Below are 17,895 nucleotides of genomic sequence, written 5' to 3'. Positions count from 1 at the left end.
GATCATCATAGTAACATGTGGTCAGTCCCATTGGCCTACAGAACCCCATCAAATGAAAGCCACATAAAATTTGCAATTTAGAGAACACACATAGTTTGATGCCTTATATAAATTTATAATCAGGTCGCTAATGTATTTAGGCTCTATGACCCTTTGAAATGTAAGCTGGGTGTGGTGGTGCATACCTACAGTCCCAGTGACTTGGGAGGCTAAGGCAGGAGGATCACTTGAGCCCAGGAGTTCTAGGCTGGAGTGAGCTATGATTGTACCACTGCACTCCAGCCTGGGTGACAGGGCAAGACCCCTTTCTCTGAAAAAAATTAAAATCCAAAAAAACTCCTTTGAAATACAGTGCTGTGAAACAAATAAAATTTACAAAAAAGATCCTGATTCAGTTATCATTTGTCGAGGACCAATGATGTCCAGAAACTGCTAGGTGCCTTCACAGGAGTTAACTAATGTTAATCTCACCACAACTCAGGAAGTAGGTGTGAGGTACAATGAGTAGTCACATTGTTTCCAGAACACATTTAATAAGAGAATGAACCAAGGACAAGAGTCATTAACATGTGGTTTTGGGTGAGTCAAGTCTTGTGCCATATCAACAGCCCCCAAGGGTCCCAGAGGCCAGGGACCACGACACTGTACTACCGTGCTCTCAGCAAAGTGGCTCTGCTTGCTCTCCGGGAAGGCAGAGACTAGTGTGATGAGTGCTCTAAAAAGCTGTTGCCAGCAGGGACCTGAGGCCCAGAGCCCACAGACCCATGTCCACTGCCAAAGGAACCCCCTCTCTGACCTTGCCCTCAGCTTCCCCTAGGAGGACCCTGCTCTCCTGACCACTGTTTTCCTCCCTGGCCTCAGGAGGAGCTGGGCTTCCTCCCCAAGGCTGTGCTGCTCCTTTCTGCCTTGTTCCTCTGCTACCACACCAGCCCTCCGGCAGGAATACTGGGTCTGTGTAGTGAACCCAGAGCCTCCCGTCACACGCCACAGTGGCAGAGTGAGCCGGCCTTGGAGTCAGACTGCCTGAGTTCCCATTCTGTCTCCACCACATGCATGTGAAGGCCCAGACAGTGTCTGCCACACAGTGACATCAATGTCACCTTGAGAAACAGCCATGATGGGACCTCAGCTGCTTCTCTGTGCTCCACGGGCATCCTTGTGTTCTATCCAGGTACGCTGCTTTTTTTTCTAAAGCGTGAGATGTAAGTGCACAAGGGTCTAGTCCTCTGGTCACTAAGATGCCATGTCATGAAGCCCACAGATACCCAGGTCCAACGTCAGGGTGTGGCCTGCCCACCAAACCTCTTCCTCTGCCAAAGGATACAGAATGTGGGAATCCAAGTGATTCAGCGAGGCCCAGCACACCGAATTCACCTGGTGAGGAAGCACACAGCGAGATGGAAAGTTATTCTACAGTAATATGCTTTCCTGTGGAATAACATGTGGGGACACAGACGTGTGACTTCTCTCTTCACGTCCTGCTCCTCTTCAAATGGGCTGGAACAAGCATTCTGAGGGTGGGGCTTAAGCAGGACAGGAAGTAACCTCAAGCCTGAGTCCTTCAACAGACCCACAGGGAGACATCTGGTCTATCTGGCATACCCTCTGGGCAGGGCTGAATTTTCTACAATGGCAGGAGATAAGCCGAACTCTGAAGGTGTATCTCACTTCACCCAGAAGCCATTTTCAACCTGTATCCATCTTGCAGCTTATGCTTCAACTGAATAGCAAGTCACAGCTTCTCACGGATGCCGCCATCACCCCACTGCAACTTAAAGGTTGCTCCCTAGACAGCAAGCTCCTCTTATTTGTTTAAGCCTCAGTGCTGGCTGCGGCCTGGCTGGATGACGCATCACTCTGACACACAGGGCAGGACCCCTCCCATGCAGGCCACAGTCACTGTCGCCCATTTCCAAGGAACTCTGTGCCCTGGTGTGGGCCCTTCCAGATCAACTCCTGGACCCCTGGAGGGACGGTCCTGAGGACCAGTTAAACAAGCGCTGCTTCAACCTACCCCAACCATCTCATTTCACTTTCTTTTCCAAGACAAGAAACTCCTGGAGTCCTTTTCTTTCCCTATGGGTTCTCAGCAACCATAAATCCATTTTTTTGAGACAGGGTCTCGCTCTGTTACCCAGGTTGGAGTGCAGTGGCACGATCATGGCTCACTGCAGCCTTGATCTCCTGGGCTCAGGTGATCTTCCCACCTCACCTCCCCCCGAGCCCCCAAGCAGCTGGGACTACAGGTGCGCGCCACCACACTCAAATAATTTTTTTTTTTTTTTTTTGTAGAGACAAGGTTTCACCATGCATGTTATGCTGCCCAGGTTGGTCTGAAACTCCTAGGCTCAAGTAAAAAATCAAGTCTTATGGAAAAATGAGGTAAGTATGCTCTGCCCTCTTCCCCAGTTGCTCTCCTCTACCCTGAATTTGGCCAACTACCCCCAGGGTCAAGTGTGCAGAGAGGCTACAGGGATGGGCAACGTACCTTCCGGTTGGTGAAGTAGAGGTTTTCGTGCATGAACACCTTGAGCGTAGGGGTCTTCAGACTTTGCAGGTTGATGATACCATACTTGGAGCCTCCAACTTTAACATCGTTCACTGTGAAGAGCCGGTCACTGTTGGTATCTGCCTGGAGAAGGGAAGGGGGCAGTGGGTGACGTCCCAGGCTGCGCCTGGTGGACTGCCTAAGAGGGACCTGCCCGTCTCTCCTGGCCCCCATGCTCTGTGCATTTTCACTAGGTGAGAGTTCCTCTCCATGAGCGAGAGTGGAGATGACCTCACTTTCCCCAACTTAGTGCAGCCATGTCTGGGCAAAGCCAGCACGTGTCTGATCTAACAATTCAAGAGGAAGGATGAGAATGGCAGTGAGGGGACATGGCCAGAAAGTCTGAGGTCTGCATGAGGACCTCACTCAGAAGTGGGTTTGGGAGAGCCCTAGCATCCACCCAGAGGAATGTGTCATGTGCCATCACGAAGGCTGTGGCGCAATAGGAAAAATGCTAGTTCCTATTACATAGGCACTATTTTTTTTTTTTTTTACCACCATGAAAAAAAAATTGCATTGAATAAAACGTGCAATAGAAAAAGACTGCATTCAAATGTAGGCTATTTTTTTTTAAGAGGTGGGGTCTCACTGTTGTCACCCAGGCTGGAGTGCAGTAGCATGATCATGGCTTATGATAACCCTGAACTCCTGGGCTCAAGTGATCTTCTCTCCTCAGCCTCCTGAGCAGCTAGGACTACAGGCATGAACCACTGTGCCTGGCTACTTTTATATTTTTTTGTAGAGATACGGTCTCGCTATGTTGTCCAGGCTGGTCTTGAACTTCTGGCCTCAAGTGATCCTTCTGCCTCAGCCACCCAAAGTGCTGGGATTACAGGTGTGAGGCACCATGCCTCGCTCAGGATGTGGGCTAATTTTTTTGAGAGGGAGTCTTACTCTGTCGCCCAGGCTGAAGTACAGTGGCACCACCTCAGCTTGCTGAAATCTCCGACTCCCAGGTTCAAGCTATTCTCCCACCTCAGCCTCCTGAGTAGCTGGGACTACAGGTGCGCACCACCACACCCAGCTGATTTTTGTATTTTTAGTAGAGATGTGGTTTCACAATGTTGGTCAGGCTGGTCTCGAACTCCTGACCTCAAGTGATCCTCCCATCTCAGCCTCCCAAAGTGCTGGGATTACAGGTGTGAGCCACCACACCTGGCCCTATTTTTTTCTCTTGAGACAGAGTCTTGATTGGTTGCCCAGGCTGGAGTGTGGTGGCACAATCATGGCTCACTGCATCTTTGATTTCCCAGGATCAAGTGATACTCCCACCATAGCCTCCCGAGTAGCTGGGACTATATGCACACACCACCATGCCCAGCTAATTTATATTTTTTTGTAGAGACGGGGTTTACCCACGTTGCCTAGGCTGGTCTCAAACTTTTGGGCTCAAGTGAACCACCTGCTGAGGCCTCCCAAAATGCTGGGATTACAGGCATGAACCACTGTGCCAGATGTGGGCTATTTTAAGCTTTTCTTTTCTCATTTTAAAACATGATGTGGTTAATTGCTATTTCAAAGCAAAAACTCCACATATTTATGTGTTTTGTATATATTAATAAATACAGACCCACACACGAGTTTGGACGTTGGTTTTGGTGAAACTGTACCAACGTTGTAAGTTTACTCAGGAAGAAGTTATGTTCCCAGAAGAATCATTGAGACTAGACTCAGATCTGAAAAACTGCTCTCCAGGTGCCAAGCCACTTTCTGGCCCTGCGGTCACACCGGCCAGCCAGAGTCACGGTAACTTTGGGTGATGGAGACGACCTACCACACGTAAAGCCTGGGTCAGGAGAGAGGAAGCATGAGGGTCGAGATGTCCAGGCTTGTGAACAGTGGCCTGTGCATCACCAGACCCCACACACCAATGACCCCCACCGTCCCCACCCACTTTACCCCAGGGAAGGGGCTGCTGAGGGGAACCAACCACAAGAGACGATTCTACTCATTCAGTCAAACCATACCCCCAAGCACACATGGAGAGAAAAGCCACATGGGAGAATGTGGGCCCGGTCCCCAACACCCCTTACATGGAAGGGCCCTGCTGTGGCGGTCTCCTGGGGCAGGAGGATGCAGTATCAACCTCCAGGGTCAATCTCTAGCATCGGCCTCCAGTCCCACCAGCAGATGACCGAGTCCAGATGCTCCTGCCTCTGTATCCTCCTCTCACTCTCCCTGGCTTTCCCTCAGCCTCCAGGAAGGATAGGGCTTGCCGGGCAGGCCCTGCTCTTACGTGGTCCATCGAAAGGTCAGGGACCTTTGTTTGCAGTGGTCCTTCTAGCTCTCTGCCAACCTTTCCCTGGCCCCTGGGTTTAAGCGGCTGACCTTGGCTTCCAGCTTGGGTCCAACCCAAACCAGAGAAGGCCTTTCACCCCCTGCAAATGATGTAATGGAGGTGTGTTGATGGGAGGTGCCACTGAAGCCAGGGGCGGCAAGCAAGGAGTCCTACCCTCTAGTGACCAAAGGCACACTGGGCTGCAGGTTTAGCCACCAAGTCCTGCCCCAGTTCAGGAAGAAGCAGATGTCCCCAGGTCCACTGTGAGCCTTTTTAATTGCATATACAACACAGCCAAGGAGAAGTTATTGTGTAAAGTTCAGTAGTCAAGGTGTGGCTGGGTCCAGACTCTGACGTTAAACGACGGAGCTGAAGTGGGGGGTGATGATGGTCGCCCCACAGCCTGCCTGCCAGCTCAGCGTCTCCCAGCGGGTAGCCAGCAGGCAGGTTAAAATCGTACAACCAAGAAGATGCCACCTACTTTCATTGCAGTTGGCTTCTCCAGAGCCAGGTTTGATGACTGGCAACGCTAAGCCACAAAGTGTCCAGAGGGTGGCAGCCACACCCTAGGCAGGTGTCCCCCTCCCACTCACCAGTATGAGGTTAAATCGGTCGCTTGCCAAGGCGGAGGGATCCATGCTTCGAATCTGGACCTTTTTCCTCTCCATGCAGCTGAGACGCAGCTCGTGGGCTAAACTGCAGAAACAGAGGGTGGGGGCATGGATGCTGAAGCTGACATCCATGAAGAAGATTCGGGGGTCTCTGGCCTTCCCTGCCCCGCTGACGCCCATCTCTCCTCGTCAGCCTGCTCCACAGTACTTCTCAGCAATGGAGCTGAGCAAGATCCCAGATTATCCGAATTTGAGTTTCCCCACAGAACGCTCAGGAAGATGAAAATGAAGAAGTGGGTGGCCCATTTGCAGAGTCAAAGAGTGGGAGTTAGAGGGAGTTGTGTCTGCATCATTCAGTACAGCTCCTTCCCCTGAGATGACGAAAGTGCGGGAGATGAAACAATGGTCTGGAGGGCACTCCGCTGCTGGGAAGAGCCCCAGGATACGGCTGCCGGGAAGAGCCCCAGGATACGGCCGCCTCTTGTTTCGCAGGGTGAGGAACAGATCTAACTAGATTTTTAACTTTCTGTCTCAGAAGGAGGAAAACAGGAGGGGCCTGCCCTGCCTGATACCTACGGTGTTTCTGGCCTTCCCTGAAGGGGCCCTGCTCCAAGGTCCGAGGGCTGTGCCCCAGGAAGCTGCCTCAAATGCAGGTTCTTCACTTGAGCATGTACAGTGGGGGCAGGAGACGCAGCGCTGGGCGCTCAGGTGTTGGAGTCAGACAGTTCCCCACTTCTAGCTTTACCTTGAGCAAATCACTCCACTCTGAGCCTCAGTCTCTTCTTCAGGAAATGGGGGAAAGTATCGGCCTATTTCACAGGGTTTTAGTTAGAATTGTATCAGCCATCATAAGTACTTTGATAAGGTTTAGTACACACACATCCACTTAATGCCCCATTGTTGGTGACAACTCATTAGAAGGGAAAGAAGGATGCAGAAATGTCATGGGAATGAAGTTGTAGGAGCTTCTACTAGAATGACTTACGAGTAACAGAGAATAGACATCTCTGCCTACGTCCCCATCCTCTCTCCCTATCCTCCTGCAAGAGTCCCCCGCCTTCGCTCTAGAGAGAACAGCTTTCTCAGGGTGGGTTTAAGCAGCAGAAGGCAGGGTGTGAACTGGAGCCCCTCAACTGTGCAGGTGCTTCACGGGGTAGCCACATGGTCTATCCAGACTGGATTCTTATACCATGAAAATAAGAAACAGGAAAAGAACATTCATGAAGAAAACATAACAAAGAGGCATTGTCTTACTGGCAGTAATTGGTGACGTTGAGAAAACCCAGCTGGCTTTTTCGTAGCATGGAAGATGCATTAAATCCCATCCTGGCAATCTATATTTATTACAAAAAAGAGAACAATTCAATGAAGATTTATTTGTTAGGGGATGATGGAGAATGTTTTTAGTTCCATAGGATGTAATGAAGGAAACAGGCACTAAATTGGCAGAAATTATATGCATAAAAATCTGACGGTGTCCTTTCCAAGTCTCCCTTCCTCGGCAAGAGGAAAGGCCCAGCAGAAGAAAGTGTGAGTGGGAAAGTCTGCTCGTCAACTCTGCCCACGCTCCCCATCCACATACACCCGGGGGGACGAAGCCACCAGGTGCGTGAGTGCAGCAATGGGACTGCAAACAGGTCTGCACCACTCTCCATTCCACCCGTGGTGACCCAGGGCTGGAACTTTACATTCCATTGCCTACCTTGACAACAAAATATGTTAGCGTCTAGACCTGTTGGTCTGTATTGCAAACAGACAAGATGGCCTGTATTCCAAACCATGCATCCTGGTCTTCTATTTAAAATAGACAGCTGGGATGGGCATGGTGGCTCACACCTCTAATCCCACACTTTGGGAGGCCAAGGTGGGCGGATTACTTGAGGCCAGGAGTTCGAGACCAGCCTGGCCAACATGGTGAAACTCCATCTCTATAAAAAAAATACAAAAATTAGCTGGGCATGGTGGCAGGTTCCTGTAATCCCAGCTACTTGGGAGGCTGAGGCAGGAGGATCACTTGAACCTGGGAGGCAGAGGTTGCAGTGAGCCGAGATGGCGCCACTGCACTCCAGCCTGGGCAACAGAGTGGGACCCTGTCTCAAAAAAACCCCAAAAAACAGTTACTAAAATTATATCACACTGCCTCCCAAGATTCCTTCAGGAATGACAAAATGTTAGAACTGCTGAAGAAGGCTGGGTGTGGTGGCTCACGCCTGTAATCCCAGCACTTTGGGAGGCTGAGGCAGGCAGATCACTTGAAGTCAGGAGTTCAAGACCAACCTGGCCAACATGGTGAAACCCTGTCTCTACTAAAAATAAAAAAATTAGCTGGGCATGGTGGCACGTGCCTGTAGTCCCAGCTACTCAGGAGGCTGAGGCAGGAGAATTGCTTGAATCTGGGAGGTGGAGGTTGCACTGAGCTGAGATCATGCCACTGTACTCCAGCCTGGGCAACAGAGTGAGATTCCGCCTCAAAAAAAAAAAAAAAAACAACTTATCGAACAAGAAAACGGGGATGGAAGAAGGGGGCTCTTGGCTGTTCTTATTCTTGTCTTCTTCCTGTCAGGGAAAAGCTAGGGCCACACCCCCTGAAGTGCCTCTGCTAAGTGTCGCAGGGGCATCTAATTGGCACCCTTTTCAACAGTGGATGGACAGGTGCTGGCAGGAGCGGAGAGGACAGGGGGCGAAGGGGTGAGGAGCCCACCTTTTTCCGTCTGTCTTCTTCCTGGAGCAGCCGCAGTCTCTTGCTCTCCATCTCCTTCTGCCGGATGCTCTCTTTCGTCAGGGGGTTGCAGTTGTTATGTCCAGGGAGCAAGCGGAAGTAGCGTTTCTTTTCAGGGTCAAAGTAAAACCCAGGTAGCTCTTTAGACAAAAAAATTAAATGCACCAATTTCAACCACTGTGAACTGACCACCTGAGTTGGGCGCCCAGTGGCCTGTCCCCCCACCTCGTGGCTGCCTGTCTTTTCTGAGGGCGGGGATGAGCTGCCTTGTCAGGCAACATCCTGGACTGTGCTCAGTCCTGGGGGAGGCGGTTTGCCTCATGACCACCATTCCTGACGCACCCAGCTCCTTCCCTGAGTGTTTCAATTTGCTCCTGGAATTCCTTCCAAGCCAGGAACGGGTCTCAGCCTTCCCTGTGTGCAAGGGCCAGGATTCCCACCCCGCAAGTGGCCTTACCTGGCACAGAGGAGGTCCCAGCTGTGCCAGACGAGGTTGACGGAGACTCGTCATCACCGTGGCCGGAATCGTGAGCGGGCTGTGCTGCCCGGGAGTCAGACCTGTTGACACACAGCTGTGTTAACTTGCAGCCCAGGACTTGAGTTCCAGCCATTCTGACGGGGGCAGGGAGTCCATTCGGGCAGTTCTGCAGCCTTCACCTCTGATCTCTGACCTTTCTGATTACTTGAGAAGCACTGATCCCCTCTTGCAAATACAACAAAATAGGGCAAGGTTTTGGTTTTTCATTCTTTTTTCTTTCTTTAAAAGAGGACAGATGTCACAGTGATTCCCTCTTCTTATCTTCTCACTCGCGCATTTTGTGAGGTCTTGTGGAATTTTCCAGATTAAAAGGAAAAATAGAAATCTCTGCCAATAAGAATTTTACCAGCTGGGCTCATTTGTCAGCACAACAGCAGTTACAAGGCTAGGTGAATTTCATTCTTTATTGGATTCAGTAGCACAAAGAGTTTAAATTTTACTTGACTACACAATCTTACAGACAGAGAAACTGGGGTTTGGGGGACAGAGGTGATTAGTTCAGTAACACTGGGATAGAGCTGCGGCTAAAACACTTGATTTGTAAATCCACAAGTAGCTTCTGAGGGAATTATAGGCTGAAGGATGTAGTAAAGGTGTGTGCCACCACACCCAGATAATTTTTATATTTTTAGTAGAGACGGAGTTTCGCCGTGTTGGCCAGACTGGTCTCAAACTCCTGACCTCAAGTGATCCGGCTGCCTTGGTCTCCCAAAGTGCTGGGATTACAGGCGTCAGCCACCACACCCGGCCCAGCCAACTTTATTTTAAAAATACATTTAATGTAGCCTTGGCCTGGGTGGTGGTTCAAGTCTGTAATCCCAGCACTTTGGGAGGCTGAGGCAGAAGGATCACTTGAGCTCAGGAGTTTGAGACCAGCCTGAGCAACAGAGTGAGACCTCATCTCTTAAATAAATAAATAAATGTAATGTAGCCTGGTGTACAGGGTTTTAAAGTCTACACTAGCATACAGTAATGTCCTAAGCCTTTGTGTTCACTCATCACTCACTCACTGACTTCCAGTCCCGCAAGCTCTGTTCACAGGAGTGTCATACATAGGTATACCATTTAAAAAAAAATCTTATATACCCTATTTTTACTGTATCTTTTCTATGTTGAGATACACAAATACCACTGTGTACTGACTGCCTCTAGCATTCAGTAGTCACATGCTGTACAGGTTTGCAGCCTCGGAGCAATTGGCTACACCATATAGCTTAGGTGTGTGTGGCTGGCTGTACCATGTAGGTTTGTGTTACGTATGTGCTATGATGTTTGCATGACACGACTGCCTAACAACATATTCCTCAGAATGCATTCCTCCTTGTTAAGCGAAGCATGAGTGTATATCCTTGTCCGAGACTTAGGCTGAATTAATAAAATTTGGTTTCCACAAAGGTATTTGCATAAAAAGTCTACAAAATGGAGAAACGGTTTTCCAGTTGTTTCAGATAACGTCTACCTCTAGCTTTATGGCGAATGCTCTGGCCAGAGGTCGTGGTCACTTAGGAAAGAACAGAGAGTGGTCCTCTCTCCTCACTACTCAGTGAGGTGGGCTGACCCACCAAAGCGACATGCCCTGGGAGCACGTTAGGAAGGCAGGCTCTCCTCAAGACCCCTCAGACCTACAGAATCAGAACCTGCATTGGGACGAGCCCCCAGGTGATCTCCACACCTGTGATCGTGTGACATGCCATGTGTACAATGCCAGAAGCACACTGGGCAAAAGTGGCTCCCCAGAGCGGCACACTTGCCTGTCTTCAGAATCACGGAGTCTGAACCAAGGGTTCTGCTGGTGGCTTCTTCTCCCATGTCGTCTTCTACTCTGCCAGCGACTTTTATTCATTTCTGTTCCTAAAAGAGAAAAACAAAAAAATCCATACATCTCTGTGTGTGGGCATGGGCTTTTCTGTTTGCTTCTTGGCAGCTGCTTCATGCTCAGCACCAGCAAAAGGCTGGCCCACCCTGGGTTATCATCAGATTTGCCACAGCAAGCCTTACCTGGGAAGGGCTGCCTCCAGCACTCCCCCAACATCCTTCCCACTTCCTTCCTGTTACCCTTAGTCGACCACATAGTTTCCTACCCCACAGAAACGTTGCCAGGTCGGCCAGGCGCGGTGGCTCATGCCTGTAATCCCAGCACTTTGGGAGGCCGAGGCAGGCGGATCACGAGGTCAGGAGTTCGAGACCAGCCTGACCAACATGGTGAAACCCCATCTCTACTAAAAATACAAAAATTAGCCGGGAGTTGTAACGTGCACCTGTAATCCCAGCTACTCAGGAGGCTGAGTCAGGAGAATCGCTTGAACCCGGGAGGTGGAGTTTACAGTGAGCTGAGATTGTGCTCACTGTAAACTGCACTCTAGCCTGGGCGACAGAGCAAGACACCATCTCAAAAAAAAAAAAAAAAAAAAGAAAAGAAAAATTGCCAGGCATGAAACCCCTAACTTCACTCCCTTCTGCTCCACAAATACCTGCCTTTACTAATTGTCTTCTTCCTTGTCTTGGACAACAGGTATCACTGCTCCTTTTCAAGGGAGACCCATCCCACCTGGCTGTTGATTTCATTCCTTCCCAGGAACTGCAGACATCTATCTGTTCCCCCATATGTTAATGTCTCCTTCTCCTTATCTCAGCTTTTAAAAACATGCCCAGGTTTTTCATTTGTAAGTGTTCCATTTCTAATCCAAAAAAATGGGCATATTCTGAAAGAATGGTCTACATCTACGAATTCAATGTCTTCATCTCCCGATATTCCTCAACCCACTGCAGTTGAGCTTCCTCTCTCCTCGCCTTTCTACTAAAATGCTCTTGCTATTGATTACCTACTTGCCAAAGTGAGTGGTCTCTTTTTAGCCCTTATTCCTGCAACATGTGGCACCAGGAGGCTACATTCTTCCTTTGGCTTCTGTAATATCTTTCTCTTGGTTTTCTTCTTGCTAAATAAATCCTTTGCTCATTTCTCCTGGGTCACACACCCTGTATGTGCTTTCCATTGTTCTGTCCTAGATCCTTTTCTTTTCAGACTTAACACCACCTCATCTACCAATGCAGATGCAGCTCCAACCCTAATATCGCTACTGAGCACCAAGTTCCTATGCTGCTTCGTGTCTATCTCCACAGACCCAACAGGTTCAAAAGTGAGTTCATGATTTCTCTCTAACCCCCGATCTGCTCTTTTGCCTGTCTATACCTCTCTTCTCTGAAAGCAATATCCCTGCCCCTGCAGCCCAAATGTGTGTGTATTTTTTTTTTTTTTTTGAGATGGAGTCTCGCTCTGTTGCCCAGGCTGGAGTGCAGTGGCGCCATCTCAGCTCACTGCAACCTCTGCCTCTCGGGTTCAAGCGATTCTCCTGCCTCAGCCTCCCGAGTAGCTGGGACTACAGGCACCTGCCACCACACCCAGCTAATTTTTGTATTTTTAGTAGAGATGGGGTTTCACCATGTTGGCCAGGCTGCTCAAGAACTCCTGGCTTCAAGTGATCTACCTGCCTCGTCCTCCCAAAGTGCTGGGATTACAGGCGTGGGCCACCAAGCCCGGCTCCAAAACTTTTATCTTATTCATTGTCCTAAACAATGGCTCCTGAACACCATGTGTGGGTTTCCCTATGGATCAGTTATCTTATACCCCAGCTAAAGAATACAGTTGTATTTATTAATAGTTAAGTTACAAGCTGAAAGGGACTGCGCACAGGAAGGGAAGCACGTGTGGCCAGTGTTAAGACTGGTAGGAAAATGGCTGCGTGCAGTAGCTCATGCCTGTAATCCCAGCACTTTTGGGAGGCTGAAGTGGGAGGATCTCTTGAGCCCAGAGTTTGAGACCAGCCTGGGCAATAGAGTGAGACCCCATCTCAAAAAGAGAAAAAGACTGATAGGAAAAATAAACTCTACTGACATAAAGATTATTATTATTACCAACTCTATAAAAAGGTCAAAATTTCTTTAGAGTGCATATTCTGTATATGAAATGATTCTAATTTGTTGAATTATGTAACAATGCATGAATACAGCAAAGAACACACGAACTGGTGAGTCAAAGACTTCAGATCACCCACAGGAGGCAGGACTGTGTCCCACTCACACCATTATTCTCAATAGGGGGCTGCACAATCAGCAGGACGCAGCCGATGATAAAATCACTGGCGAATGCCAATTTGGGCCAGGGAGAGCATGTGTTCACCCCTAACTCATACAGGCACTGCAATCTGGTAAGGGAGCCTGCCAACCTCAAGTAATATAGTTAGCAAGGTCAAGCAAAAATCATTTTAAAGGCCGGATGTGGTGGCTCACGCCTGTAATCCCAACACTTTGGGAGGCCGATGCGGGTGGATCACCTGAGGTCAGGAGTTTGAGATCAGCCTGGCCAACGTGGTGAAACCCCGTCTCTACTAAAAGTACAACAGTTCACTGGGTGTGGTGGCTGGTGCCTGTAATCCCGGTTACTTGGGAGGCTGAGGCAGGAGAATCGTTTGAACCCAGGTGGCGGAGGTTGCAGTGAGCTGAGATTGCACCACCGCACTCCAGCCTGGGCAAAAGGGTGAAACTCCGTCTCAAAAAAAAAAATCATTTAAAAAGTCACATACTAATAGAAGCCTTCCAAATACAGTAAGAGTTTAAAGGCTAGGACAAAGACAGTACCTTTCTAGTACTTTTAAGAAGCCTGTTCAGGGGTGGGGAGTGTGTCTTCTCTAAACACAAACACAGTTCATTCTCTATGGCCGCTTTATAGTCCATGTTTGCACTCATCACTCTGCATGACTGTTTGTTCATACTCCCATCTCATACTGGACGTGAGGTGAATTCTGTAAGGCAAACATCCTACTTTGTTCTTTTTTCTATTCCTAGCATCCATGACCTAGTTGGTGCTTAGTAAATTTTTGCTGAACTGAAGCAAAGCAAAACAAAACCTGTGGCTACTTTACATTTAAGTCCCAGGTAGCTTCTTTCTGCTCTGGGTTATTTCCACTTACTACTCCACACACATTTACAAAGCGCCCACTCCATGTGAGGCACTGGGGAGTGGGCAGAGATAATAAGCTGTGCTACCTGGCTTGGAGGCACCGATTGTTTAATATGGGAGACAGATGCACAGACCAACCCCTGCAGCACAGGATAAGGATGAAGACCCAGGTCTCTCCAGGTGTGGTGGGAGAGAAGGGAGTGACTGCTCCACATGCCTGGGCTGGAGGTGGGGGAGGGAGATAAGTGCAGTCTGAAGAATGAAAATGTCAGGCAAGCCCGGCGTGGTGGTTCACGCCTGTAATCCCAGCACTTTGGCAGACTGAGGTGGGCAGATCACCTGAGGTCAGCAGTTTGAGACCAGCCTGACCAACATGACGAAACCCCAACTCTACTAAAAATACAAAAATTAGGCCGGGTGCAGTGGCTCACACCTGTAATCCCAGCACTTTGGGAGGCCGAGACGGGTGGATCACCTGAGGTTGGGAGTTTGAGACCAGCCTGACCAACATGGAGAAACCCCGTCTCTACTAAAAATACAAAAATTAGCCAGGCATGGTAGTGGGCGCCTGCAATCCCCACTACTTGGGAGGCTGAGGCAGGAGAATCGCTTGAACCCGGGAGGTGGAGGTTGCCGTGAGCCGAGATAGCGCCATTGCACTCCAGCCTTGAGCAACAGAGCGAGACTCCGTCTCAAAAAAAAAAAAAAGAAAATGCCACGTAAGGCAGTGGGGGCGGGGGGCCTGCAGGCTGTTTGGTATGGCCAGAGCCTGAAGTTCAAGAAATGGGGGGGATGAGCCTGCAGAGGCAGACAGGGCATGATCATGAGGACTCTGGGTGTGCGAGGAGTGACATGATTAGAGCTGCTAAGAAAGGGCACCTGAAAGGCAGCGGCATGGGGTGACAAGTAAGAACTGCAGTGGCAAGCCAGGTGAGATGAACTCGCTTACACATTATGGACATGGTACTTGGGATAGCGGAGCCTGGATTTAGATTTAGGCAGCAAATTTCATGGGAGAGGTGGAGAGAGGAGTTGAGAAAGGTTAAGTGAATAACTGGTAGAGTCATGAGCAGGGAGACTAAGAATAAAGGAAGAACACTTTGGGGAGAGGAGAGTAAGTCTGATTTTGAACAAATCAATCTCAAGATGCAGGCAATGGGAAATACGGGTCTGAGAATACAGAGAGAAATTGAGCCTAAAGAGACAGATTTGAAAGTAAACAGGATATGGTGACATGGACTGGGACAAATGGCACCAAAGTGGTAATGGTATACAGTGAGAATTAGAGACTTTTTTTTTTTTTTTTGAGATGGAGTCTTGCTCTGTCACCCAGGCTGGAGTGCAATGGCACAATCTCGGCTCACTGCAACCTCTGCCTCCTGGGTTCAAGCGATTCTTCTGCCTCAGCCTCCCGAATAGCTGGGGCTACAGGCGCATGCCACCATGCCTGGCTCATTTTTGTATTTTTAGTAGAGATGTGGTTTCACCATAATGGCCAGGCTGGTCTCGAACTCCTGACCTTGTGATCTGCCCATCTCGGCCTCCCAAAGTGCTGGGATTACCGCACCTGGCCATTAGAGACAATTTTATCTAGTAATAATATAAAACCCAGTATGCATCACAGTTTGTAGATCAGTGCTTCTTAAGGATTATTTTGCCCACCAGGGGACATCTGGCAATGTCTGGAGACATTTTTGTTTGTCACAGCTCGGGAGAAGGAGGGGTAGGCTGCTACTAGCGCCTAGTGGGTAAAAGCCAGGGATGCTGCTAACCACCCTACAATGCGCAGGGCAGCTTCCACACATTCTTCAGCAAGAATTATCCAGGGCTGGGTGCAGTGGCTGATGCCTATAATCCCAGCTGCTCGGGAAGCCGAGGCAGGAGGATTGCTTGAGCCTAGGAGTTCAAGACCAGCCTGCGCAACATAGCAAGATCCCGTCTCAAACAAACAACATTAAAAAAAAGAAAGAAAGAAAGAAAGAAAAAAAAATTATTCAGCTGGGTGTGATGGCTCACACTTGCAGTTCCAACTGCTTGGGAGGCTGAGGTGGGAGGATGGCTTGAGTCCAGAGTTTGAGACCAGTGTGGGCAACATAGCAAGACTCCATCTCAAAAACAACAACAAAAGAGTTACCTGGCCCAAAACAGTGCTAAAGCTGAGAAAACCTGTTCTATGTAGGAAGCACTCGAAAACAATTTGCTGGTAACATGCTGCATCTAGCACCTTTGGAGCTGCTCTAGATGTTAAAATCAGGTGTGTTGCAGAAGGTTGGGCTTGCCTTTGTCTTTCAGAGAAACTTTTAAGTACCTCAAGGCATTAAGAATTATAATTTCTAAGAGACTACTATTCTGCAAAGGCAATGTTAATCACAAATAAACACAATTTGGTTTTTTGGAAAATGACTGGAAAATATTTATCAAGTAACTTACAAATGTACATGCCTTCCTTCTGGGAACTGCTCCTACAAAAATGATTCCAAGATATTTACTACATTTTTCCGAATCATTTTATAAGGCCAGTATTACCTTGTTACCAAAATCAGACAAAGATATAGGAAGAAAAATATAGGTCAAGGCCGGGTGCAGTGGCTCACGCCTGTAAGCCCAGCACTTTGGGAGGCCAAGGCAGGCAGATCGCCTGAGGTCAGGAGTTCAAGACCAGCCTGGCCAACATAGAGTGAAACCTCATCTCTACCAAAATACAAAAAATTAGTTAGGCGTGGTGGTGCACACCTGTAGTCTCAGCTACTTGGGAAGCTGAGGCAGGAGAATCGCTTGAACCTGGGAGGCAGAGGTTGCAGTGAGCCGAGATCATGCCACTGCACTCCCGCCTGGGCAACAGAGCAAGACTCCATCTCTCAAAAAAAAAAAAAAAAGAAGGAAAAATATAGGTCAGTATGGGTTATGAATACAGAGACACAAAAATCCTTAACAAAATGCTAGCAAGCAAAATCCAGGAGCATATAAAAAGAATTATATACCAAGACCAAGCGCGATTTATCTCAGAAATATAAGGTTGGTTCAACATATGAAAATCAATCAATATACCATACTAATAGATGGGGAAAACCTCACATGATTTTCTCAATTGATACACAGAAAAAGCACTGGACAAAATGCAACATCCTCTCATGATTAAAAAAACATTCAACATACTAGAAACAGAAGGTAGTTTCCTCAACCTGATAAGGAGCATCTACAAAATACCCACACCTAACATCATACTTAGTGGCCAAAGACAAAGTTTTCCCTCTATGGTCAGGAATAAGACAAAGATGTTGGTTCTCAATACATCTGTTCAACATTGTAGTGGAAGTTTTAGACAGGCAATTAGGCAAGACAAAGAAAAGGCAACCAAACATGATCTTATATACAGAAAATCCTAAAGAATCCACCAAAAATCTACTGGACCTCACAAATGAATTCAGCAAGGTTGCAGGATACAAGATCAATATAGAAAAACCAGTTGTATTTCTATACACTGGTTCAGGCAATGAACAGCCTGAATATGAAAGAAAAGTTACATTTACAATGGCATCAAAAAGAATAAAGCACTCCTCTGGTCCTGCTCAGGCTCAGTTACAAAAAAAAAAAAAAAAAAGAGAAAAAGTACTTAGGAATATATTTAACAAAATTAATATATGGCGTGTACACAGAAAACTATAAAACACTGTTGAAAGAAATTACAGATTGAATGCAATCCCTATCAAAATTCCAAATGCCATTTTTTTAGCAATGGAAAAGCAGATCCTAAATTCATATTATGCAAGGGACCCAGAATACCCAAAATCATCTTGAAAAAGAACAAAGTTGGGATGACTCGCACCTCGCAATTTCAAAATTCATTACACAGCTACAGTAATCAAGACACTGTGTTACTGGCATATGGATAGAAATATAGATCAATGGAGTAGCATTGAGACCAGAAATAAACCCATATGCCTATCTATGGTCAACTGGTTTTCATCTAGGTGCCAAGACCATTCAATGAAAGAAAGAAGTGTCTTTTCAACTGCTGGGACATTTGAATATCAAACTGCAAAAGAATGAATTTGGATCCTTACTTCATACCATATGGGACAAAAATGAACCAAAATGGATCTCGATCTAAAACTATAAAACTCTTTGAAGGAAACAAAGGTATAAATCATCATGATCTTGATTAGGCAATGATTTCTCAAATATGACACCCAAAACTCACACACACTACATATATATATATACACACACACATACACACATAA

General features: G+C 47.8%; 1 protein-coding gene across 21 annotated transcripts in view, besides 2 other annotated features; it reads right to left on the bottom strand.

Annotated features, from left to right (window-relative positions):
- DCAF4 (DDB1 and CUL4 associated factor 4) overlaps positions 1–17,895 on the bottom strand; it is a 35,635-nt gene that overhangs the window by 13,583 nt on the left and 4,157 nt on the right. For 9 of the 21 annotated variants that reach the window (XR_007064003.1, NM_001352448.3, NM_001163508.2 and 6 more), the window contains exons 2-8: positions 10,446–10,545; positions 8,614–8,714; positions 8,139–8,296; positions 6,692–6,771; positions 5,420–5,522; positions 2,489–2,632; positions 1,325–1,374 (exon numbers count right to left, since the gene is read on the bottom strand). Coding sequence is in view for 18 of the 21 variants with exons in the window: in XM_047431256.1 (XP_047287212.1) it covers positions 1,325–1,374; positions 2,489–2,632; positions 5,420–5,522; positions 6,692–6,771; positions 8,139–8,296; positions 8,614–8,714; positions 10,446–10,545 (736 nt within the window). In the remaining 3 variants the exon portion in view is untranslated. Of the gene's footprint in view, positions 1–1,324; positions 1,375–2,488; positions 2,633–5,419; positions 5,523–6,691; positions 6,772–8,138; positions 8,297–8,613; positions 8,715–10,445; positions 10,567–13,329; positions 13,494–17,895 lie in introns of those variants that run through there. The other 12 variants (NM_001163509.2, XM_017021213.3, XM_047431259.1 and 9 more) reach the window with 7 other exon arrangements.
- Positions 8,092–8,591: an enhancer, noted in NCBI's record as "H3K4me1 hESC enhancer chr14:73406633-73407132 (GRCh37/hg19 assembly coordinates)". NCBI's record gives its function as "activates a minimal SCP1, AML or CMV promoter by ChIP-STARR-seq in naive H9 embryonic stem cells {active_cell/tissue: H9 hESC(naive)}" and the evidence as "EXISTENCE:reporter gene assay evidence [ECO:0000049][PMID:30033119]".
- Positions 8,592–9,093: an enhancer, noted in NCBI's record as "H3K4me1 hESC enhancer chr14:73406131-73406632 (GRCh37/hg19 assembly coordinates)". NCBI's record gives its function as "activates a minimal SCP1, AML or CMV promoter by ChIP-STARR-seq in naive H9 embryonic stem cells {active_cell/tissue: H9 hESC(naive)}" and the evidence as "EXISTENCE:reporter gene assay evidence [ECO:0000049][PMID:30033119]".

The sequence above is a fragment of the Homo sapiens genome, chromosome 14, assembly GCF_000001405.40.
Source record: "Homo sapiens chromosome 14, GRCh38.p14 Primary Assembly".
Lineage (NCBI taxonomy): Eukaryota > Metazoa > Chordata > Mammalia > Primates > Hominidae > Homo > Homo sapiens.
This window is presented reverse-complemented; position numbering and strand designations above follow the sequence as displayed.